General features: G+C 45.6%; 1 protein-coding gene across 35 annotated transcripts in view, besides 3 other annotated features; it reads left to right on the forward strand.

Annotated features, from left to right (window-relative positions):
- The window catches only part of PTK2B (protein tyrosine kinase 2 beta), a 148,886-nt gene that overhangs the window by 23,138 nt on the left and 100,122 nt on the right, over window positions 1–25,626 (forward strand). The gene's annotated exons all lie outside the window — the stretch shown is intronic.
- Window positions 7,119–7,168: a silencer, noted in NCBI's record as "silent region_19048". NCBI's record gives its function as "represses an Ori minimal core promoter by ATAC-STARR-seq in GM12878 lymphoblastoid cells {active_cell/tissue: GM12878}" and the evidence as "EXISTENCE:reporter gene assay evidence [ECO:0000049][PMID:35858748]".
- Window positions 15,789–16,083: a silencer, noted in NCBI's record as "tiled region #9089; K562 Repressive non-DNase unmatched - State 7:EnhWF". NCBI's record gives its function as "represses a minimal TATA promoter and a strong SV40 promoter by Sharpr-MPRA in K562 cells {active_cell/tissue: K562}" and the evidence as "EXISTENCE:reporter gene assay evidence [ECO:0000049][PMID:27701403]".
- Window positions 18,609–18,668: an enhancer, noted in NCBI's record as "active region_27140". NCBI's record gives its function as "activates an Ori minimal core promoter by ATAC-STARR-seq in GM12878 lymphoblastoid cells {active_cell/tissue: GM12878}" and the evidence as "EXISTENCE:reporter gene assay evidence [ECO:0000049][PMID:35858748]".

The raw sequence follows: 25,626 nt of genomic DNA on the forward strand, positions 1-25,626 counted from the left end.
TCACCTCTGTCTTCCATATTCTTGATTCCCAGCCTGGCCGCTTCCCCCTGGGCCTCCCCTCTGCTAGGAGTGTGTTAAATGCCAAGCCTGTCTCAACCTCTATCTGGCAGCACCTTGAAGTATCAAGTCAGGAATATGCACTTAGATCCACAGGCCCCTTCTCCATCATGTCTCCGGTGACCATCCAGATGTGATGATTCCCAGGACCCTCCCTCCCTCCCTTAGCCCTCACTTCTAAGAGTCTGTAAGATATTCCCACTTGAGGAGCTTGTCTTCTTCAATGCTGTATCTCAGAAATTAAACTCCTCCTTTTCTCACGCCAAACCATCTCTCCTCCTGGCTTCTCTCCTCTTCATGGGGTTGTTCATCTCCCACACACTCAGGTCAGAAACCTTGCTATTGCCTCCCCTCTTTCCACGCCCCCACTTTTTTCTGCTCATATCTTGCCCATCACTCAATCCTGCAGATTCTTTCTTCATGCCTTTCATTCCTTCCTTCCCGTTTCTATGGCCCCTACTCTGACCCAAATCATATTACCTAATATTGCTTCATATTTTTACCCAAGAGCTTCGTCCTATCTCTGGTTCCCTTGGAAGCTCCCCAATGCCTGCAGGCAAATCCAGCCCCCTTAAATTTACCATTCAGTGCCTCCCATAATCCAACCTTGATCTGCTCTTCTAACTAAACTTTCCCCATACCCAAATGAAGCCCCAGCCAGCCTGGTGTGCTCCCCAGTCTCTGGCAAGCCTCTGCTCAAGTCCTGTGTTCTGTTTGGAATGCCAGCCCCATGCACTTCACCAGTCCTACTTACTCCTTTAAGGCTCAGTCGGTGACCCACCCTTTTGGAGGACATCTGAGCTCCCCATGGCAGCTTCTGGGCTTCTTTGCATCCTGGGATCTCCCAGAATCTATTTTTCAACCTGATGCTACATTCCTCCACAGCAGGGAGATGCCTTTTATTTTGTTCTTCTTCCTTATACCGTCAAATTCCAAGGATAGAAAATTGCATTTCCCTGGGCCTGTGAAAAGGGATCCCTCCCTCCCTGCACACTCATGCCTGGCTCACACGGAGTGAGCCAGACAGCGCTTCCTCATTCCCCGCAGTGGGTGTCGCAACAGCCAGTTGCAACTAGAATAGGGGCCACATCCCGAGTCTCTTGAATTCTTGCCCTGTGGTTAGGATGCCCTTCTTGCCTGTCCTGAAGGTGGAGATTTCCTACAGCCGAGAGAGAGGGAGTCAGCAGTCTAGGGCAGGAACTCCATCATTTCTTTATTAAACCACTCCTAACTCTCTCTAATCTCTGTGAGTCTTGCCTTTCCCTTTTCTCTCCTCCTCCTACTGTTGAGTACAACTAGGCCAGGCTGAATGAGAGGAGAAAGATGGGGAGGAGGAAAGAAGTTAGGCAGCCTTGGCAGAGGGTGCAATGCTCCGGGAAAATGGGAGAGATTTACAAGGCAGAGATTGACAGTTTTTAGTAACTTGACTTTGACCTCCAGTGTACACAGACATAGCCTTGGCTGCTGGACTCTGAGCTTTCTGGCCCTGGGAAGCTCGAGATTTGCAAACACTTGTTCGACAATCACCTCGTTTATCTGCATTGTCACCAGTGCAGCCTCTGAGCCCTCTCCCTGTCTTTACTTGACCCTGTATAGAAAAATGCTTTCAGGGCCAATTGCAGTGACTCATGCCTGTAATCCCAGCACTCTGGGAGGCCAAGGCGGGCAGATCACCTGAAGTTGGGAGTTTGAGACCAGCCTGACCAACATGGAGAAACCCCATCTGTACTAAAAATAAAAAATTAGCCGGATATTGTGGCGCAGGCCTGTAATCCCAGCTACCAGGGAAGCTGAGGCAGGAGAATGGCTTGAACCCAGTAGGCGGAGGTTGCAGTGAGCCAAGATCATGCCATTACACTCCAGCCTAGCTGGGCAAAAGAGCAAAACACTGTCTCAAAAAAAAAAAAAAAAAAAGAGAAAAGAAAAATGCTTTCTGCACCCAACACTGAAGACTCAGCCCCAGCCTGTGTTCATGCCCTGGGGGTCCCTGGAAGAGGGCACAGGAGCTGCCCTGAGCCTAGGAGCCCTGGGCTAGTCACTGCCTCCTTCATATCCCACCACATGCTATGGGGTGAGTCCCCTGGGTAAGCCTGTTCAAGCCTCCTGTTTTTTATTTGTATGTGCAATCAGGGGGTGTGGGGACTTTTTAGCAAAGCTTTCTTCAAAGCAGATCTTAGGCAAGAGCCCAATATAAACCAGGCAAAAATATTCCTATCCAGGGTTGAAGTGAGAAGGCGAGGTACCTACCAGGCCCTTGAGTCCCCTCCATGGATCTCCTGGGGTGCAGGTCATCTGGAATTCTTTCCGGGTCTCAGGCTCGTGAGGTGCTCATTGTGTATGTGTCATGGGAGCTGGAGAATGGCTGTAGGTGCAAATGGACTTGGAAAAGAACAATGTCAAAGTCGTAAGTCCAGCCTGGGGCATGGCAGGTTTATGTATGTGTGAGTGGCGGGAGGGGCTGTAGATTTGAACTCCCTGAAAGAAGATATGTGTAATTCTTACCAAAGAGTAAATGCATATGTTTATGAAAGAAAGTTCATTGCTATCATCTGGCTCTCCAAGGCACCTGTGACCCCAAAAGATTAAGAACATCTCTCATAAGATATTATCATCCGTTCTACAAACCTTTCATAAAAATGACCTCAAACTTGAGCTCCTTTTTAATTCAGACAAACTAGGCCATAAGCCCTGTTGAGGAAAGAACCGTATCTGTATGGAGAGTCACTGTTACATCCCAAGGACACAGCCTGGTACCTGACACACAGCTGGCATTGAGTACGTACAATGTGTGCCTGATATAAGGCAGCTCTGTTCTCCCAATAAGGAGGGCTGCTAAAAAAAAATTAAAAAGCTTATTTTCATATGTAAACTTTGTAGGATAATGTTGAATAGATTATTTTAGCGATACATTTTCAATCACATGCTAATAACAATACATTAACTTAAATACTGCTTTCCCCCAACTCTCCCAGTTTAGGAAACATTGTAACTGTTCACTCCCATCTCTGACATCAGTGTCCTTCTTGTCACCAGAACCCTTTCTGCATCAGCTCTTCATGTTCTGTGGGCATCATAGTCCCTGTGGTCTAAAGAGAGTTAGCTGTTTCAAATTGATCCAAAAGGAGTTTATTTACTTATTTATTTTTTATTTTTGAGACGGAGTCTCTCTCTGTCACCCAGGCTGGAGTGCAGTGGCACAATCTCGGCTCACTGCACCCTCTGCCTTCTGGATTCAAGCGATTCTCCTGCCTCAGCCCCACGTCCCCACCACCCGTCCCCCCTCCCCCCGCCACTGCCAGTTTTTTAATAACCGCTAATTAATACTTATTGATGAATAGTAGTTTTTTGAGATACAATTCACATACCGTAAAATTCACCTTTTAAAAATGTGCAATTCAATGAGTTTTAGTACGTTCACAGAGTTGTGCAACCATCACCGCTTTTTTTCTTTTTTTGACAAGAGTCTTGTTCTGTTGCCCAGGCTGGAGTGAATGGCATGGTATCAGCTCACTGCAACCTCTCCCTCCTGGGTTCAAGTGATTCTCCTGCCTCAGCCTCCCAAGTAGCTGGAATTACAGGCACCTGCCATCATGCCTGGCTAGTTTTTGTATTTTTTAGTAGAGATGGGGTTTCACCATGTCGGCCAGGCTAGTCTTGAACTCCTAGCTCAAGTGATCCACCCGCGTTGGCCTCCTAAAGTACTGAGATTACAGGCGTGAGCTACTGCGCCTGGCCCTCCATCACTGCTATCTAATTGCAGAATATTCTCGTCACTCCAAAAAGAAACCCCCGTACCATAAGCAGTCACACCGTGTTCTCCACTCCCCCGTCCCCTGGCAAGACTAATCTACTTTCTATTTTTATGGATCTGCCTTTTCTGGTCATTCCATATAAGTGGAATTGTACAACACTGTGGCCTTTCGCGACGGCTGCTTTCACTTAGCACAATGTTTTGAAACTTCCTCCATGTTGTAACATCTATTAGTACTTCGTTTCGTTTTGATTGATATTTATTGATGAGTAACATTTTGTTGTGTGGATATGCCATATTTTGTTTATCTCTTCATTAGTAAACATTTGGATTGTTTCCACTTTTTGACCATTGTAAGTACTGCTGCTATAAACATTCACATACAAGTTTTTTTGTGGACATATGTTTTCATTTCTCTGAGCTATAGACTTAAGAGTGGAGTTGCCGGGTCCTGTGATAACTCTGTTTAACATTTTGAGGAACTGTTGAATGGTTTTTCACAGCAGCTGCCTCATTTTTTATTCCCATCAGCAGTACTTCTTGGTTCTAATACCTCCACGTTCTCGCCAACACTTGTTGTTGTCTGTAATTTCGTTGTTAGCCATCCCAGTGGGGATGAAGTAGTATCTTACTGTGGTTTTCAGTTGCGTTTCCCTGATAATTAATGATGGTGAACATCTTTTCATGTTCTTGTTGGCCATTTGTATGTCTTCTTGGGAAAAAAAATGTCTGTTCAAATCCTTTACAAAGTATTTATTTTTTATGTCAACAATATAACCACTCAGTACACTGCTTTTTAGACAATGATCTTTTAAAGGTTTGTTTACAACATTTAGCACTTGAAATTTTAAGGTTATGCCCTCAAAAAAATTGCTGAGGGAGCTAAGCTATGAAGATGCAAAGGCATAAGAATTATACAATGGACTTTGGGGGAATCGAGGGAAAGGGTGGGAGGGGGGTGAGGGATAAAAGACAAATTGGATGCAATATATACTGCTCCAGTGGTGTGAGTCCATCAAAATCTCAGAAATGACCACTAAAGAACTTATTTATGTAACCAAACACCACCTGTTCCCCAAAAACCTATGGAAAGAAAGAAAGAAAAAATTTTAAAAAGAAAAATTGCTGAATCTATATTATAGTATGGTGGTTGCTTTTCATAAAAACCAATTCTTTTAAGTAACCTTTGTAAGCATCCCAAACTAGCCTTGATTGATTGGAGTGCTAATACTTTTCCCAAACAGTATATTGTTGTTCAAAATAAGATAATTGAGAAAGCAACCCATAACATGAAAGATTCTGTAAGGGCTTGGATATAAACTTTCTCCTTTCTGACAGATAATTTGGGAAGGTAGAGAGCTTTACCTCCTATTCAAGCAAATGTGATATTTAAAAATAAGTAGATGGATGAATGGACAATGGACTCATGAATGAATGAACAAAAGAAGAAATGCAAGCAAGTAAACCAATCAAGCAACCACACCAATCTTTCCCTCTTTATTTAGGATTTTCTAATCCCCACTTAGTAAATCAGCCTTGGTCTTTAATTTACATTTTATGGAACCATATATAAAATTGTTTAAAAAACAAGTTTACAGTTACAGATTAGAAACAAGACACTGTATTTTCTGTCGCCTGGAATATCTTTATCATCTTCCTTTAAAAATGGGAAGAAACTAAGGCTGCGCAGGGTCCTGGAGGCAGTTGAGAGACTCAGACATCAAGTGATGTGATTGCAGGCCTTGGTCCAGAGTTGTAAGTCACCAGAGTGGGACCTTTAGGCTTGTGACATGATAACAAGGATTTTCTTGGGTGGGCCCCCCAGCTCTTCATTGCTCTTTCCATCAGCACAAAGGCTTCTGGGTTGCTGATGTTTTGTGTGGTGGCCCTGGAGGTCTCTCCTTCTACCTTCTCTGGGGTGAGACAGTCTGATCCATCTCAGAGGCCACACTCACCACCTACTGCACAGAGACACAGCCCCCTCCCCATCCTTTACCATTGGTCCTTTCTTAAGAAAATGTGTCAGCTGGCAAATGGTACTCTGGAGTTTGGGGTAAGAGAGAGAAAGAGGAAGAATACTGGGCAAGAAGGTAAGAAAGGAAGCTGTGGCCTGACATGGGCACAGAGACATGGGCGAAAGCTTGAGAGATGACCTTTAAAGGCTCAGACCCCGGAAAGGGAAGAAGTTGGGACAATGGAAAGACTGGCAGGGTGGTAACATAGCAGGCAGGCTCTGGCGTAGTTGACTCTGGATTGTGTATGGTTGGAGTTGGGGATCAGGGGGTCAGGGACAGTACACAGCAATGTGGACATACATGGCCTGGACTCCTTTCCTTTACTGATGGTGGTTGGCAGGTTCAGAATTAGGAGTTCAGGTCAGCATCTTTCAGAGAAGCATTCAGATCCCTTCTGTAGAATTTTAGTCCATTCCTGGGCAGGATTCCAGTGTTTCCAGTGACAGTGACACCTAGTCCTTTCTTCTGTGCCTGTCGGTCAGGACGGAGTCTCACCTATCCTAGCAGGTGGCTGTTTTCCTTTCGGCTTTAAACATCTGCAAGGAATGAGTCTATGTGCTTCCTTGAAGCCATGTTTCCTATTTTTGAGAATGTAGAATTGGTGGCTTTGACATGGTGAATCTAAAGCCCAGCTCCACATCACTTAGCACCTGCTGTGGGCCAGGTACCATGCAAGGCATGAGTGGTTTCAGAGGTGAACAAGGGGTACTATTCTCAAGATGAAACAGTAATTCAGGCAGCCACAGTGAGACCAGATGTTCTGCATGACAGTGGAGCAGATGCCATGGAGGCAGGAAGGCCAGAGCTACCAACTTTACCAAGAGGTGGCCCAAAAGGTGGTGCTGGGAAGGATTTTGAAGAAGATATGTGTGTGCCAGGCAAAGGGTGGTTGGGTGAGGTGCTTTACAGGTTGAGAGCACAGCATATGCAAAGATAAGAAGGCACTGAAGAAATGGGGCCTGTTTTGGAAGCTGGGAACATCTCAGGGTGTCTGGATCTAGCAGGAGCACGGTGGAGATAAGGCGAGAATGCTATAGAGACCCTTGATCTGGGTGGCTTAGTGTTGGACATCATTCTCCGGTGACAGGAAGCAATAGGATAGATAGGATAGGATAGGCAGTTGCAAGAATTTTTAAGCAGGGAAGAGAGTCAGATTTTTGTTTGAAGAGGACTTTGGCCCCAGGCCACAGGAGCTCTTGCACCAAGCATGGAGAAGCCTTGGCTGGGCATGGGCAGACAGGCATTTCTGGGGTGTGGCCAGGGCTGCAGGCAGGGCTGAGCTGGTGCAGCAAGTGGGAGGTGCCAGCCCTCCAGGGGCATGGCCCAGGCTGCCAACTGCTGCTTGGGCATTGAAGCTGTCCATGCTGGCCGCTGGCCAGCAGGGCTGGTGAAGGAAGAACCCACTTCCTGCCTCTTGCTGCTGTTTGCGTATGTGCAGTGGGGAGGGGGGCAGACAGAACAGACAGGGCTTGGCCAGGCGGGTAAGAACCAGCCAGCTGTCAGCAAGAGGTGCAGTGGGAGAGACGGATGAAGGGGATACCTACCTGGAGAGCAAGGGGGTGGCCTGGCAGCTATTTTTGCCCCAACAATTGGGCTCAGCTATTCCATCGGGATGATGACACACAGAGGATGTTCAGGAGTAGAAGGCGCTGTGGTGGAGGGAAGGGCATCCTCATGTTCTACCTCCCCGGGTGCCCCTCCTCCCAGAGCTCTTGGCTGTACCATCCATTTGTGCCTGGCACATGTTTTCTTGAGATAAAATTATTTTTCACAAGTACATGCATTGCTAAATGGGATGAAGGAAAGGCGGGCCCCCGTCTCGTGCCCCTTTGTCTCCCAATCATAATCTAGCAAATGTCAGGATACGGAGCTCACACTCCGGAAACATTTGTTCAGATGCGGAGAAGTTTTAGGGAAAAGATTATCAAGGAAAAAGTGCTTGTTTTGGGATGGTCTCTGATACCTGTGGAAATGAGGGGCATCAGAGAGATTCAGATAAGAACAAGATGCACAAAAGCTCATCCACTCCCAAAAGAGCTGAGTGAGTGGAGGACTCCCTGGCCCCAGGATGCGGCCACTTCAGTGGAGGGTGTTCTGAGGGGAGATGTGTGTCATGACCAAGGCGGGCAGTCCTTGGACTCACTGCAGCCCTTCAGCATAGCATGGAGTCAGTGGCATCAGAATCACTTGCAGGGCTGTGGGGGGGTTTTGTGTGTTTTTTGTTTCTGACAGGGTCTTGCTCTGTTGCCCAGCCTCCAGTACAATAGCATAGTTATACCTCAATGCAGCTTCTACCTCCCAGGCTAAGCAATCCCCTCCACCTCAGCCTCCCTAGTAGCTGGGACTACAGGCACCCACCATCACACTCAGCTAATTTTAAAATATTTTTTGTAGAGATGGAGTCTTGCTCTGTTGCCCAGGCTGGTCTTGAACCCCTGGGGTCAAGTGATCCTCCTGTCTTATCCTCCCAAAGTGCTGGGATTACACAGGTATGATCCACCCCACCTGGCTGCAGGGCTTTCAAACTGGGCTCCAACTCCATAGTTTCTGCCACAGTGCATCTGGGGAGAGCAAGAATTGTACTTCCCACAGGGTTGCAAGTGATGTGGACGCTGCTGGCCTGGGAACCCCACTTTGAGAACCACTGCAGTGGAGGTCCCCCACAGGGATGTACCCTCAAGCACCTTTGCAATTCCATTCCTTAGGGGTGTGTATCAGAACCCCCTACTCCACGGGTGAGATTTTGAGACACTTCTGTGCCTGTCTGCTGTTGTGCCCAGGCAGTCATTTCTTCTTCTCTTTGGTTTTGCTTTACTTTGTTCCTTTTTTTTTTTTCTTGAGACAGGGTCTCACTCTCTTGCCCATGCCAGAGTGCAGCAGTGTAATTATAGCTCACTTCAGTCTCAACCTCCCAGGCCCAAATGATCCTCTCACCTCAGCCTCCCGAGAAGCCACTGAGCCCAGCCTGCTTTGTTCTTAATGCTTCAAAAATAGTTTTGGTGCCCACCCTGGTTGAAACAACGACTATGTTTCCTTTCCTGCCCACAGCGCCCTGACGACTTGGTTGGCTTCCCCAGTTTTTTGTCTTCGTTCCCGGTGTTCTCGAAGGCAAGACTGCCTCTCCCAGGCTTCCTAAATTCCCACCTCTCAGATTCCTTCGAACCCTCCCCCTGTGTCACCTCTGCCATGTGCTTCTCCCAGCACCCCCAGTTCATCCCGTCTGTGCTCCTCTGATCCCACAGTCTTCTTCCTGACTCTGTTAGGACTTTCCTTCTGCCTTATTTTATCATTCATTGGACATGTGCCTTCCCCACTTACACTATAGTCCTGAGGATGGAGTCCTGGCTCCTTTATCCCCCCTCAGTGGGTCACATAGAAGATGTATTCCATCCATATCTGCTGAATTGCAGTGAGAAGGGCCTGAGAAACAAACCAAAGCAAACCGAGACCTGTTTACATTGGCCCTTGCTGGACACCAGCTCTCGAAACGCACCTACCAAGGCCTGGGTGATGGGGAGGAGGAGGCGTTTGTGAAGCCACCCCTGAGCTGATGTGGCCGAGTGCCAGGGTCCGATGTGCTCATCAACCTTGAAAATAATTTGATTACTGATCTGTATCGCTCAGGGATCTACCACCCCCAGAGCTGTATTAAGAATGTTTTCCTCAGGCAACAAATATGCGGGCTTTGACATCCAAGTCAGCCTCAGGAATTTCATTTTATGATTGATCCTTCTTTGTTTGTTTGTTGTTTGTTTGTTTATTTTTTGCTCGTTCTTGTACATCTTCCAGATCCACCTTCTTCTTCTGGATCTCTCAGTTGACATACAGCCAAGCCCTCCCACTGCTCCCTTCCCCTCTCAAATCATTTCCAAACATGGTTCCTCTTCCTCAAGCCTGACTCAAGGTCTTGCTCTTTTACTTTGTTACGAAAGTCACAAATGACTTTGAAATGAAGCCACTGGTGTTTTCCAGGCAGATGGGGTCCCCTAACCTGGGGACCCCATGTAGTCCCCAAAGCTCTGGAGTGTTCCAGATAACTGTCTGGGAATGACTGCCCTTTTATGCTTTTTTATACCTGTCTAATGACATATCACCCCGGAGGGGATGCCCAGCTCACAGAATGCACCTTCAGCCAGTCTCAGCCCAATGCCACAGAGGTGTGCTTGACAACCCCATTCAACCTTTACCTTATTCATTCACTGTTACCATGTCGCCTGCCTTCTGACCTTTCTCCTTTAAAAAAATTTCTTTCGCCAGGCGTGCTGGCTCATGCCTGTAATCCCAGCACTTTTGGAGGCTGAGGCAGGTGGATCACGAGGTCCACTCTCAGATTGAGAGCATCCTGGTTAACGTGGTGAAACCCTGTCTCTACTAAAAATACAAAAAATTAGCCAGGTGTGGTGGTGGGCGCCTGTAGTCCCAGCTACTTGGGAGGCTGAGGCAGGAGAATGGTGTGAACCCAGGAGGCGGAGCTTGCAGTGAGCCGAGATCATGCCACTGCACTCCAGCCTGGATGACAGAGCGAGAATCCGTCTCAAAAAAATAAATAAATAAAAAATAAAAAAATAAAAATTTTTTCATCAGTGCTGTAACTAAAGGAAAATGCACTAAGTTTGGAGAAAGGACTCCTAGACTCAGTTCCTGCCTATATTTTACTCTTTAGGGAAATGGCACACCCCTCAGCCCATGTATTTGTGCGCCCTCTCCCACTTCTCTCTCCCCAAGACCTCCCCTCCCCAGCATGAGGTTGGAACTGATATTATTGCTCTTTTAAATTTGGAGCAATATGTCTCCCCGTGGAGAAGGACGAATATCTGGTTTGCACACAATTATTCACACTATATCAGCAAGGCAGGTCCCAAGGGTTAGAAGCGAGGGCTTCTCAAGGTGTGGCCCCTCTACTTCCCAGCCATGTGACCTCAGCACCTTCTGACCCCTCCCATCCTCAGCTTTCCTGCATGCTGAAGGGTGACAACCCCAGTGTTTTCCTTAAGGGATATTGCAAAGATTAAAAGGAGATCATACACATACGTATATAAAGCACTTAGCATTCATTGGTGTGCTGCATGTAATAAGTATTCAATCCATGTAGCTGTTACTTGTATTGATGGCATATATTACTAGAAGACAGAAATATAGATAACTAAGGTCACCCAGGATCCCACCCCTCGTCCGCTTGATGGCACTTGGCAGGAACTTCAGCCCCTCAGCCTGGGGCTATCTTGGTCTGTCTACACCAGGTGTAAACTCACTTCCTTGTGCTTCTGCCACCTCTGTACTGTTGCGTCTTGTTTGGCCACTTTACTCCAGGACACACAACTCAGCCCCTTCACCAATGATGCCAAGAAGTCTCAGACCATACAGAACACTTACAATTTTTCTTGGAGGAAGGAAGGAGGGAGGAAGAAGAGTATTAGGGAGAGAGGCCGGGCATGGTGGCTCATACCTGTAATCCCAGCACTTGGGAGGCCAAGGCGGGTGGATCACTTGAGATCAGGAGTTTGAGGCCAGCATGGCAAAACCTCGTCTCTACTAAAAATATAAAAATTAGCCAGACATGGTGGTGGGCACCTGTAATCCCAGCTACTCAGGAGGCTGAGGCAGGAGAATCGCTTGAACCCAGGAGCCAAAGGTTGCACTAAGCCAAGATGGCGCCACTGCACTCCAGCCTGGGAGACAGTGAGACTCTGTCTCAAAAAGGGTTAGGGAGAGGGTCAGATCATGGGGGCATTCCCATTCCACTACTTCTTTGGCTTCCTCCTTGCTTTTATTTCTCCCTCTTTTCCCAGAGCAATGAACAAATTATACCACCCCAGCTTCCTCGGGCCTCATCTTCTAACTGCAATGATTTAGTGAGCACATGTTTCTAAATAGTTTTCTTCTTAGGAGGACTTCTGTTACCATCTCCTCTTCATCTTTTATACATTTAAACACATGCCACATCCTTGGGGCAGAGCTGCCCATGTTGACATCTGGGCCACAGCGAGGACCTGCCTATCCCTGGGGAATGGTGGGGCTGCTCTGAGTGAGGGGCTTAGCAGCCTGGAGGACAACCCCTCTTGGAGAATCCCCCTGATTCCCCTGTAAAGGCAAGCTGAGCCAGGAGTGGGGTGTGGATGATTCTGTTTGTGAATCCTGGGAAGTACTTGCCTTCCCCAGCCTGCAGATATGACATTTGGATGATGGGACCCAGTAACCTATTTGTGCAGACTTCTATGCTGACTTTCTGATCAAAGGAGGAGATGAGAGGTAGGCAGCTTCTATGACACATGGGTGATTCCAGGCATGGAAAACATACGAAACCTATAACATTAATGGGAAGGCGAGTCAGGTGAAAATGTGTATATGTGCCCCAGATCCAGTAGCTGCCATGGAGGAAACCAGGACCTCATGATCCTGGAGGCCACAGTGAGGGGTTGGGGCCATGGTGAGGAACTTAGAGGAGCAGGAGATGCTCACACCACTGGCTACAAAGTGACTGAGCCTGTCTGAGACACCAGACCAAAGGTGTCCAAACTCCTTGCTCCCCAAAAAAAGATTCATGTCTCACCCCTCTGCCAGAAGAGCTGTTTCTCCTACTCAGATGTTCCTCATTCCCTCTTGCAATTTTGAAGTTAAGGAGAAGCTGATTCAGCTACAAGTCTGGTTGCTCAGGACTATGGCATATGTTACAGGTAGTTTGCCCTCTTTGAGCTACAGTTTTCCATTTGCAGACAGGGAAGAGCTCATAAAAGAGGTTATGTGGATTCATGTTTTCACTCTGTTTTCTTAAAAGTACTTGCTTTCTTTGCGGGGTGCTGTGGCTCATGCCTGTAATCCTAGCACTTGGGAGGCTGAGGTAGGCAGATCGTTTGAACCAGGAGTTCAAGACTAGCCTGGGCAACATGACGAGACCCTGCCTCCACACAAAAAAAATACAAAATACGAAAATTAGCCTGGTGTGGGGGCACACGCCTGTAGTCCCAGCTACTCAGGGGGCTGAAGTGGGAGAATTTCTTGAGCCCTGGAGGTTGAGGCTACAGTGAGCCGTGATTGTGCAGCTGCACTCCAGCCTGGGCAACAGAGCCAGACACTGTCTTGAAAGAGAAATAAAAGTTGCTTTCTGCTCTTCATGCTGCTGTGAGTGATGGAGGAAGTGACGAGCAGTCTCCTTTCATCACAGAAAAATGGAACATCACAAAGGACCAGAAATATCCCCATTGAACAACAAATTATTTGAGGGAAAAGTGGGGCAGACCACTAAAAGTCATCCAGCCCAAACTCCTCCTCATGGAGAAAGGTATCTTTTCCTTGAGCACCTGTTGGGAATGTTTCGTCCCAACACCTCATTCCAATTGTTGGATAACTCATGGCTGGAAAGTTCTTTCTTTCACTGAGCCAAACTGTCTGAAGCTCACGCTCCTTTGGTGCTGAACTGCACTTGGCAATAGCCCAGAATGATGACTGTTTTGCAGTTTGACAGCCCTCAGTGATAGGGAGCTACCCACCGCATTATCCCCTGATCTAGGCTTAACATCAAGAGTTACTTCTCCTCTTCTTTGCATGAGGTGGGTTTTCAGATGTCGTGCCTTTCTGGCTCTCCACTTCTGGATCAATGATTCTGTTGCCATCTTAAAAAGTCATGGCTAGGCTGGACACTATGGCTTATGCCTGTAATCCAAGCACTTTGGGAGGCCAAAACGGGTGGATCACTTGAGGACAGGAGTTCGAGACCAGCCTGGCCAACATGGTGAAACCCCATCTCTACTAAAAAAAAAAAAAAAATTAACCAAGCATGGTGGCATGCGCCTGTAATCCCAGCTACTTGGGAGGCTGAGGCAGGAGAATCACTTGAATCCAGGAGGCAGAGGTTGCAGTGAGCCGAGATCCACCCACCTCGGCCTCCCAAAATGTTGGGATTACAGGAATGAGCCACTGTACCTGGCCATTCTTATGTTAGTTTGCTCAACTGTCATCAGAAAGTACCACAGACTGGGCAGCTTCAACAACGGAGATTTATTTTCTCCCGGTACTGGAGGCTGGAAGTCCAACATCAAGGTGTCAGCAGGGCTGGTTTCTTCTGAGGCCTCTCTATTTGGCTTGCAAATGCCATCTGTTGCCTGTGTCCTCACATGGTCATCCCTCTGTGTGTGTCTGTGTCTTAATCTCCTCCTCTTATAAAGGCACCAGCCATACTGGATTAGGGCCCACCCTAATGGTCCCATTATAATCACCACTTTAAAGACCCCATCTCTAAATACAGTCCCATTGTGAAGTACTGGGGGTTAGGACCTCAACATAGGAATTTTGGGGGACACAATTCAGCCAGAACATTCTATCTTAGCATCATCTAGCCAAGCTGACTTTACCTAGTCTCTGCAATCACTATATTTCTACCTCTCATGCATTTGACCCCACTACCTCTTGCCTTCCTCCCCTGCTTCTCTTTCAAAGCTGCTCTTCCAAGAAGCTCTCATGCCAAGCAGGTGTCCAGTCTGTTTAAACACCCACAGAGATGGGGAGCTCCTTCTCTCTGAAGCAGCCCATTCTTCTGGCTTCAACAGCATCATACCCTAGCAATGTGGACCTGGAGAGGCCTCACGTTTCACAAACCCAAGGTGCTTTTCAATTCAGATAAAACAATCTCCAGATAAGTAAAACGACCTCCAGATAAAATGAGAACTGAGTAACATATGGGAAAAAAACAGAAATATCCCCAAAGTTGAAAACCAGTGAAACTGGATGCCTGAAGTCTGTCCACTCTGAGATACTCTTCTTGGGGAGCAGCTTTAAGCCAAATCTGGCCCTTTTCCTGTGTTACGAATACTCAAATGTTTCTTTGCTTGTTTCCAGCCGTGCGGGAGTACCGTGGTCTCTGCCCTGTTTCCTCTGCATGACAGGACTCTCCTAAATTTCACTTGCCAAGACCCCTCGGTCAAAGTAAAATTAACAGAACCCCCTGTTCTTCCCACTCTGCTTTCCAGCTCTTCCCGGCGTGCACACACACCTCCTGGAACTCCAGCCTTGTGCATCATCTTGATGCCGTCGCCTAGTAACGATATGCTTAGCAACCGGTAAGGGAAGTGCGATCGCACCTCCCAGCACTGTATGTGAAGCACTGCAGACAATACAAACAGTTCCCTGGTTCTCTTTGCAGCTAGAGGAAGGTAATTGTCAGAGGTGGCCAGCATTATGCTCCAGAGATAGTGGCTCATCATCCGGGGGCCCAAATTGGTTGTTGCTTGGCTTCTACTTGGCATTGGGCAATATCTTTGTGGGGGCGGCTGGGTAGGTGGTTCTTGAAGGGCCGGATCTCTCTGCTTGCACTTGTTGTCAGGATGCCAGTGATGCAGGCTGGGCAGCTTGCAGAATCCTCTCTACTCCCACGCAGCCCTGCCCTGTACCAAGCCACATCCCCCTGCATCCCAAGCCATTCCCCGCTGCCTCTTCCATTTGGAGGCTGTTCTTCTATGCCCTGGCACTGCACAGGCCTCCACCTTGCAGCTGACCTGTCCTCCCAGTACCCATGCCTCTGTCTTTCCAACACCCCATCAGGCATGTTTCTCCCTCATCACTATCTCTCACGTTCCTATGCATCCCAGCCTCAGACCACTGGGTCTGATGCCAAACAGAGGGGACTGAGGCCCACCTCCTGTTCTCTTCTGGTGTCCTTATTAGAAATTGGATCATTGTGACTTAACTAAAGTTTCCAAGGTGTCATGTTGCACTGAGAAAACAACAGAGAAGGCCAGAGAGTCTAGAGTCTAAAAGTGTATTTCCAATCCCAGATCCCTTTTTCTGTTTGTTTTTTGGTCTTAACTGTATGACTTAGGTCAAGTTTCTTTAACCTCTTTAAGTCTTAATTTTCTAGAGGGGTTGGAATATTTGCCTCACATGGCTAGGATGACAATTACATAAGGTACAAATAGAACCCCGTAATAAACCACATGGCATACAGTCAGAGAACCCGTTAAATATCCTCTTCCTGTCCTTCCATCTCTGCCTCTTTGTTCTTCCTTTCAAACTTCAAGCTAAAGCCAGTTTTGGAGTTGGATTCTCAGAAGGCAGCACAGTGCATTGGCAGGAATGCGGGGCAGGGGGTGAAGACCTCAGCTCTGATCCTGGGCCCCACCCCCAACAGCCCCGAGATTCCTTTCATTCCCCTGTAAAATGGAGCGAAGAGCACCTGGCATGTCTCATGCAAAGAGCTGCTATAAAACTCAAAGGAAATAATATTCATCAATATCCTGTACACATTTTGAGATGTTTTACAAATTTTAGAATAATTTTCTCGGACAAACCTGGTCTCATTTTTGCACCTGTAAAATGAAATGAGATTCCAACATGCCTAAAACCCCCTTAAATCCTAATATTGTGACAAACTGAGAGGTGATGGTTGCTTGCCCTTCAAGGGCCACCCTAGACAGGACAGACTCCTTCATCACAGGCAGTCTTTGTCCTAAAGTTGTCAGGATAGATTGCAGCAATACTTCCACTCTCTGTTCACAGGGTCCCCTTGACCAAGGTGGCTGGTTATCACCCGGTCAAGACTTCAGCCCAGTAACATTCTGCAGGCTTCTCATCCTAGCATGGAAATGTATATAACTCTGTTCTTTCAGTAAGCAAAACAAATGAGTCAGAGCATACTCAAAGCATGATAAAGGTACGGGGAAGCAATCGCTAGTGTAGGTGTTTGAAGTTTATGTCATGGATACTTCCATGGTGGCTGTGTATTTAGTAGCAGCCTAAAAGACAGTGGAATTTGCAAATGGAGGATACATTAAGCAAGAAATTTAAAAAGGCGTAACGTAAGTCACAGTAAGTCAAACAGCAGAGGGACAAACAAATAGAATTTGGATGTTATTGAAACCTTGAAGGTTGGGAGTCTGGCCATGAGCCAGAGACATTTGCATTCTCTTCTGAGAGACTTCCCCCAGCCAGGCAATTATAGGGTCTCCAAATAACAGAGCATCTCAGCAGATAAGATAGGAGATTCAGAGCTCTCAAAGCTCTGGATTTGTCTGGAATATCTATTTCAATAACCTTTGGGGAGAGGGGTGCAACCCCACTCAGGGACCTTGCTGTTATACATTCTCCAGTCCCGTGACTTCAGGGCAAAGATCAGTAGAGCCTCCTGTTAATAAGTGGGGGAACTCCTGCTTCGTAATAAAGTTGCAAGAGGTCGGACATAACACAAGTGCGAACTGTTAACCCCAGTTGTAACTAACTTTTTAAAAGTATAGGTATTTGGGGCTGGGCAAGGTGGCTGATGCCTGTAATCCCAGCACTTTGGGAGGCCGAGGCAGGTCATCACCTGAGGTTAGGAGTTCAAGACCACTCTGGCCAACATGGTGAAACCCCATCTCTACTAAAAATACAAAAATTAGGGTGTTGGTGGCACATGCCTGTAATCCCAGCCACTTGAGAGGCTGAGGCAGGAGAATTGCTTGAACCCGGGAGGCAAAGGTTGCAGTGAGCCGAGATCACACCAGTGCATTCCAGCCTGGGGGACAGAGAAAGTCTCCGTCTCAAAAAAAAAAAAAAAATATATATATATATATATATATATATATATATATATATATATATATATATACGTGCTTGGAGCAGGCACAGTGGTGCACACCTGTAGTCTGTAGTCCCAGCTACTCAGGAGGCTAAGGTGGGAGGATCACTTGAGCCCAGAAGTTCCAGGTAGCAATGAGCTATAATTATACCATTGCACTCCAGTCTGGGTGACAGAGCAAGACCCTGTCTCTAAAAATGAAATATATATATATTTCACAAGGAGCAGTGGGATTTAATCTATGTTCTTCCTGGACCCATAGAATAGAAAGTCATGGAATCAAAGAATATTAAGCCGATAGGAACTGTAATAATCACCTGGTCCAATCCCTTTAATCACGGGTGAGAAAATGGTCTCCAAGATGTTAGAAGTGATTAATCTGGGATTGTAGAAATGTTCCATTTGCCTTTAAAATAAAAATACAAAAATAAGAAAGCATAAAAGTGACTTACCTAAGGTTCCACAGCCACACAGACAAAGAATTTGTCTAGACCCTGAATCTGTTGACTTCCATCCCTCTACTGGTCCTAATGGATTCCATCTGAGGCTAGAACTGAGTTTCCAAAAATATCCTTTACCAAAAAAAATAAATTAATTAATAAATAAATAAAAGTGTACTAATGCCTCCAACTAGTCTTTGCAATGTAAAACTTTCCATTTTCAACATTTCACAATCTCCAGGATAATTTCATCAACATTATCTTTTGAATAAAACATAGACTTATCTATGGGGAAACATTACACCTAAAATGTCAGCAGTCAGCAAATCTCTCAAAAGACACCTGGTTATGTAGGATTAAAACCACCCGTTGAAGGGCAATGTGAAAATGGAACCTCTGTTTGACTTTCGTAACCCACTTCCCACGTAGCCCATCCACTGGAGGGAAAGAGAAACTGCTAATGGGATGGTAAAAGCAGTTTGAATGCCATCCCCCGCAGAAGCTCCTGTCTACAGCTTTTGTTCCCATGGTCTCTTCAATAAATATGACTCAGGCTGCTGTTTGGGCTTCACTTCCTCTGGGCAGGGAGCTGACAGCAGCGGCTCTGCTGTGCCCATCATGGTTGACTCAGGGGACCCACGGCGGGGGGGCTGCCTGTCCTCTCCCCAGCTGACCAAACACCCTTCTGCTCTTCCAAGCGCTGCTGTCCCTGACTCTTCTAGCTTTCAAAGTTCTCACCAATTCATAAGGCTGGTGGCTCCCCATCACCCCATTACTTTTTCTAAAGCAGTGCTGTGCACGTATCTTGATAAGCTGCCAAAGTGCTTTTTTCACCCACCTACTCACCTATAGAATTCATAGTCTCCAGTGTAGGCATGACGCATGGAAGGCCAAGGAAAGGCCAACATGTGTTCCTGCAAAAAACAAAAGCAAAAGACAGGAAAAGCCTCCCAACCATCTCACCTCTTCTAAATGCTTGTTGGAGCAAGACCACAATCTACTTAACGTCTTCAGGGGTGGAGGGGGGGCGGTCATCTGGGCCAGCCTACACTTGTAAACTTCTTTTTGCTATAGAATCAGCTATGAAAGGAGCTTTCACTTATTTGGATACACATTATTTGATATGGTTTGGCTGTGTCCCCACCCAAATCTCATCTTGAATTCTCATGTGTTGTGGGAGGGACCCGGTGGGAGGTAATTGAATCATGTGGGTAGGTCTTTCCAACACTGTTCTCATGATGGTGAATATGTCTTGTGAGATCTGATGGTTTTGAAAAACGGAAGTCTCCCTGCACAAGCTCTTTTTGCCTGTTGCCATCCATGTAAGACGTGACTTGCTCCTCCTTGCCTTCTGCCATAATTGTGAGGCTTCCCTAGCCATGTGGAACTGTAAGTTCAATTAAACCCCTTTCTTTTGTAAATTGCCCAGTCTCAGTTATGTCTTTATCAGCAGTGTGAAAATGGACTAATACATTATTATTCTAAACTCAAGGGGATGGATTCTAGAACAAGAACTGTAGCATTTTACATAACAAGAACAGTTACAAAGGATTGAATAAAGAGTATGGGGGTCTCCTTCACCTAAGCCAGCCCAGGCTACAGTCACCTAAAGGATACAGAGAAGTGGAGAACCACATTTTCACGGGACTGCTCATCTAGTCTTGGGATTAAAGGGGATTAATTGCAAAAATATTTAGTTAGCAATCCAAAAATATTTAGCGTCCACTACAGAAGAGACCCAGAAGATTTACGGTATAAGTTTGCCATAAGCTACATACCAGTTGGGCTGTTAATGTTGGGGGCTGTGTTTTTCTCCAATACTCAAGGGCAGTAGGGAGTGGATGGGGAGATACCACATCAGGCTAGTCAGTCACCCTTGGCTTTGGGATGGCACTCCTTGTCCAAGAAAGTGCTGTTTTTTGCTAGGACATCTCAGATGCAGGGTGCATTGCTTACCAATCTGCTGTGAAATTTTCTCCTCCTTGTCCTTTCTTCATATGGGATAGGAAAGGCCCAGCTTGGCCTAACTATGCCCTCACACGCTGATCTGTGAGTGTGAGTAAACACAGCTCCTAACTCATTCACTCATGCATGCTCGCTCTCTCTCTAACACACACACACATTGATCCTGTGGTCACCATAGCACAGCCCTGTATCTACCTAGTAATGGCAGACCAAGACAGCACTTGAACAGATGAGGCAACTAGGGTAGGGCTGTTCCCAGGGGAGGCTGTTCAGGAGGCACGATTTCTACTGCTCAGCTGCATGAAGGTTAATAGCCTGGAGTGCCAACTCCGTAAACCTTATCAGTCACTTAGACCTGACTATGGGTGGCTCTGTAAGATATTTCCCAAGAGCAGGGGACAAAGAGCCTCAGCAGAAATGGGCCTGCTATTGAAGATGAAGCAGGGAAAGGCAGGTGTCACACCCCTGTTTATTGTCCCAGCACTCTTTTAGTTGCAGATGACAGAAACCCAAAAGAGAGGATTCACCTTGGCTCACATACCCAAATTAAGGGAAGATTCAGGAAGCAGCTGAACTCAGGTGTGGTGGGAATCAGGACCTCATCCCAGAACCTCAGACATCTCTGTGTCTGCCCCTCTGCCTCTGCTTCTGTCTCTCACATCTCTGGCTGTCATTACATGTTGGCTTAATTCTTTCAGAACAACTTGTGCCAAAAGAAAGGAACTTGGTGGCTAATGGTGTCTGAGCTCCCAGCCATAGCCCTATCACCCAGAGAAAAGCCCTTTTCCCCAAGCTAAAGTAAAAATGCCAAAGAATAACTCTGATTAGTTTGGCTAAGATCGTGTGTCCATTTCTGGACTAACCCCCACAGCCAAAAGGGTGGGGTACTGTGTTTGCTTCCTCTTGATTAATGTGCCCCATCCTGTGGTCCAGGCCAGGACGGGGAGGAAGAGGAGATGGTGTTCTGTGATGAGCCGTCTCCACTAGCACACAAGGCTGGCCTGGGAGGAGGAACAGTCTCACAAAGAAAGCCAGTGAAATTCTCCCAAGCAGGGAAAGGAGACGTTGCAGACAGATGAAACAATTGAGGTCACCTGCAATCTATGTGCAAGCAGTTTTTGATTTGCGGCCGGCAGGTATGTTGACTGTTGGGAGGACTGTTAAACTTGGAAAACAGGAAAATAGTGACATCCGAAGTGCTTGAAAAATGGCAGCGTGTAATTATAGCTGGGAACAAAATAAAACTTTGCAGAAAGAACAGGTAGTGAGGGTGTGAAGTATATGTCAATAAATCATTTACATACCGCTGGGCTGTTTGATGATTGTTATTCTATGAAGGTAAATGAGCTTGCCTTCCTTGTCTCATTGGCCTGCTTGTAGGATCTCACCAACCAATTTGTGTGTTTGCTCCTTGTTCTGTCTCTCCTGGGCTGGAACCCAATGTCAATATTAGGGATGGTCTTCCGACGGAATCATCCCTGATTTTCAAGGATGATATTTTTATTATACTGCTTATGTCTAGAGCTGAAAAACCACCTTGCTCTTCAGTCTTGAGGGAATGATGTTCTTACAGTAAACGACTCTTTTTGATTCTGCCTCTTAACTCCCCAGACTATACTTTGTTCTTATTCAAAAGGAGCATTAGCTCTAATACTCTGCTACAGGCTGTCTAATAACAACCTCCCAAAGATGTCCGCATCCTAATCCCAGAACTTGTGCGTGTGCTACCTTACATGCCAAAGAGACTTTGCAGATGCAATTAAGTTAAGGATAGTGGAATGGGGAGATTATCTTGGATTATCCGGTTGGACCTAATGTTATCACAAGGGTCCTTTTAAGAGAGAGGCAGGAAGGTCAGAGTAAGAGAAGGCAGTGCAACAACAGAAGCAGAAGTCAGAAAGAGGGAGGGAAGAGAGAGAGAAGAGAGACAAGAGAGAGATTGTAAGGCACTATGCTGCTGGTTTTGAAGATGGAGGAAGGAACCGCGAGCCAAATAATGTAGCCTCTAGGAGCTGGAAAAGACAAGAAGAAGGATTCTCCCCTAGCACCCCAGAAAGAAGTCAACCCTGCTGGCACCTTGGTTTTAGGACTTCTGACCACCAGAATGGTAAGATAAATTAGTGTTGTTTTAAGCCACTAAATTGGTGGTAATTTGTTACAGCAATAGTAGGCAACCAATACAGCTACCTTTCTGGAGAGCAACTTGGCAGCATGTACTAAGAAATATGAGTGTATTCCTTCTGACTCAGTAATTCTAGCTCTAGGCTTCTCTCCTAGTGAAATAATCAGATCTGTAGAAATACACTTATATATTTAGAAGTTTGAGGCTACGCATGGTGGCTCATGCCTGTAATCCCAGCACTTTGGGAGGCCGAGGCCAGTGAATCACAAGGTCAGGAGTTTGAGACCAGCCTGGCCAACATAGTGAAACCCTGTCTCTACTAAAAATACAAACAATTAGCTGGGCATGGTGGCAGGCACCTGTAATCTCAGCTACTTGGGAGGCTGAGGCCCGAGAATTGCTTGAACCCGGGAGGCAGAGGTAGCAGTGAGCCAAGATCATGCCATTGTACTCCAGCCCAGGCGACAGTGCAAGACTGTCTCAAAAAAAAAAAAAAAGTTCCAGTATTATCTAGAATACTAGAATAGTAACACCTTGGAGCCGTCTGAGAGCCCTACTGGTGGCTCTATCTCTATTATAATTACAACACTGTTCAAGTAAGAAAACATGGCCCCCTTAGTGATGACAGTCCCTCTCTATGTGGCTTCCAGCAATGTGTTATGATCGCAGGTTGGGGTGGCCTGTATTAGGAAAAGACTGTGATGACAGCTTTGCTGTTGATCTATTGATTCAACAAATGCTTACTGACCGTATTGGGCCCTGGGCCAGAGCTGAGGGCAAAGAGTAAAGGACATCTATGGGATTGTAAGGAAGCTGCAAGAGTCTGGCCAGGGAGATGGTTATCAACACAGAGACTTCACAGAATACTTGGTGTTTTACTTAAAACTTGAAGGATTGATAAGAATGAACTGCAGCTGAAAAGCCAATGAATTCATGGAATGCAGTATAGATCCTCACTGCTCACGAGGAATTCTGAAGGCTCTGATGAACTGCAGCTGAAAAGCCAGTGAATTCATGGAATGCAGTATAGATCCTCACTGCTCACCAGGAATTCTGAAGGCTCTGCAGCCTGAAGCAGGACTAGCCCTCTTGTCAAAGAGCTGCAGTCAATAGCGGAAAAACGTAAACAATGCAAATGTCCTTTAATGGGAGACTAGTATATTCACACCATGAAATACTACTCAGCAATGAAAATGAACAAACTATTGACACGGGCAACGACCTGGATGGATCTCAAGGGTATTATGCTGAATGAAGAAAATGTTCATCTCAAAAAGTCACATACTGTATGATTCCATTGACATCACATCCTTTAAGAGATGAAACTGTAGAGATGGAGAGCAAACTAGGGGTTGTGGAGATGGGTGGTGGCACGAATGTGTCTAAAAGGGGTAACCCAAAGAAGTCTTTTCACGGTGATGAAACAGTTCTGTATCTTGACTGTGGTGATGGTCTCATGAGTGTGTTCACAGGATGAAATTGCATGGAACTACATACATACCACACACACCCACACATACGAATGAATCCATGTAAAAAAAATAATGAAAATGGGATCAGGTCTGTAGTTCAGTCACAGTATTATATGAATGTCAGTTTCCTGGTTTTGATATTATTATTCTACAAGGTGTTCCCATTAGGGGAAGATGAGTCAAGGGTACTCAGGACTCTATGTGCTATTTGTACAACTTCCTGTGAGTCTATAATTCTTTCAAAATAAAAAGTACAAAAAATACTGACAAATTAAAATTCCTCTGACACTTCTTCTGTCTCCAAGAATTTTCTCACCACTTGTATGGTTCCAGAGCCACTTCAGTTGGTGTTTAAATATTAATCCCTCATGGTCCTCACATCATTTCCAGGGGTCTTCTCATGATCTTGTAGGATAGGGAGGTAACCAGCAACTGACAGCAGAAGAGAATGGGAAATTCATTTTCTTGCAAATCTCCAGTGCAGGGGGCCACCCCGTGCCTGCCATCTCCCTTAACCGCTATCAGGAGCATCATTTCCCAACCACCAGCTTTGAAGGAAATTGGGTCTCTTGTTGTGAAACTGGGCTTTCTTCTCTCTCCTTTGTCAACTCTGAATGAGAGAGGGGAAATGGGTCAGGTTAGAGAGAGGAGATGCCTTTTTTGAAGAGGAGATCTGAGTGAGATAAAGATATAGATAGCCAAGAGTAAGTGAGATAACAGAGTAGGTGCTCTGGCATAATAGAAAATGCACAGGCTTGGAATTACAGCTGCATTCATTCATTCATCTGATATTTATCAAGTGCCTAATCTGTGCCAGGCATAGTTTTACATGCTAGGGATATGGAGTGAAAATATGGTCCCTAGCCTCATGGAGATTATGTCAGATGACTGCAATTTAGACTCTATAGCTCCCCAGTCATGTGACCTCTGAAAAGTCACTTAATATCTTTGAAGCTCGGTTTCTACTCTGTAAATTGGGGTTACTAGTAGTAATTGGGGTAACCAAGCCAACCTCATTGGATTTCTATGGGGTTGCATAAGAAGGTTTACTTAGTTCTTAGCACAATGTCTTAAACATAGTAGACGTTCCCTTTTTCTCATTAGTTCTCTTCATCCTCACTCTTTGCTCCCCTCCTTGGTAGATTGGTTAGAACCATCTAAATTCCCCCAGGGCAGCACAGGGCTGTGGATATAGCTCTGCACTGTAGGTTCAGCTGAGTTAAGCCATCCTCAGTTGAGTTGACTGCTACACAGTTTTGTAGCACTCAGGCCAAATGAAACCATGAAGAAGAAAAGAAGCAATACTTTTTGCATTTCTGTCCATTTTTGCTTTATATTTTTAATTGTCTGTGTTTTGGTGCATATAAGCTTATGATTGTAACTTCTTGGCAAATTTTTCCTTTTTAACATGATTCCTCATAATCATATTTTTAATGTTTTTCTTCAAATCTTATTTGCTATTTTATATATCAATATCAACTTTCACTTAGTAACTGGTTTATATTTTTCTGTCTCTTTATTTTTAACTTTTGATGTCTTAATGTTTTTAGGTTTGCTTCTTGTAAACTACAGATAGCTGGATTTTTAAAAAATTAAGTCTAAGTGTCTTTGTCTTTTAACAGGCAATTTAAGCTTCTTTATTTATTAAGACTTCTAATATATTTAGTATATGTATACTACATTATTTTGTTTGCCATGCTTCATCTTTGCCTTTTCTCACCTCTTGCCTTTCACTGTATTGATTATGTGTTTATTATTTTCTCCTCTTGTAGCCTATTGGTTTAGAAGTTATATATTAGGTTTCTATTATTTTAATGGAAAAATAGGTTAAAAATAAAACCTAATAATAGGTTTCTATTATTTTAATTTTTTAACACATACTTGAATTTAAGGTCTAACATTAATCAATATCATTATCCTCCTTACCAAATTGGAAGGATTTTATGGCACTTTGACTCTAATCTTTCTCTTCTCATGTCCCAAACTGTTGTCCACTGGTATTATAGTATTATCTTCTTTTCAACATCTCCCCTCCCCATTTTAGCCATTAGGATTATTATCTTGGACTTTGCATACCTTCTTTTTTTTCTATTTAGATATTGCAAATATATATATTTTTGAAACATACATAGTCTTGCTCTGTCACCCAGGCTGGAGTGCAGTGGCGCGATCTCAGCTCACTGAAACCTCCACCTCCCAGGTTCAAGTAATTCTCCTGCCACAGCCTCCCGAGTAGCTGGACTACAGGCATGCACCACA

The sequence above is a fragment of the Homo sapiens genome, chromosome 8 (genome assembly GCF_000001405.40).
Source record: "Homo sapiens chromosome 8, GRCh38.p14 Primary Assembly".
Taxonomy (NCBI): Eukaryota; Metazoa; Chordata; class Mammalia; order Primates; family Hominidae; genus Homo; species Homo sapiens.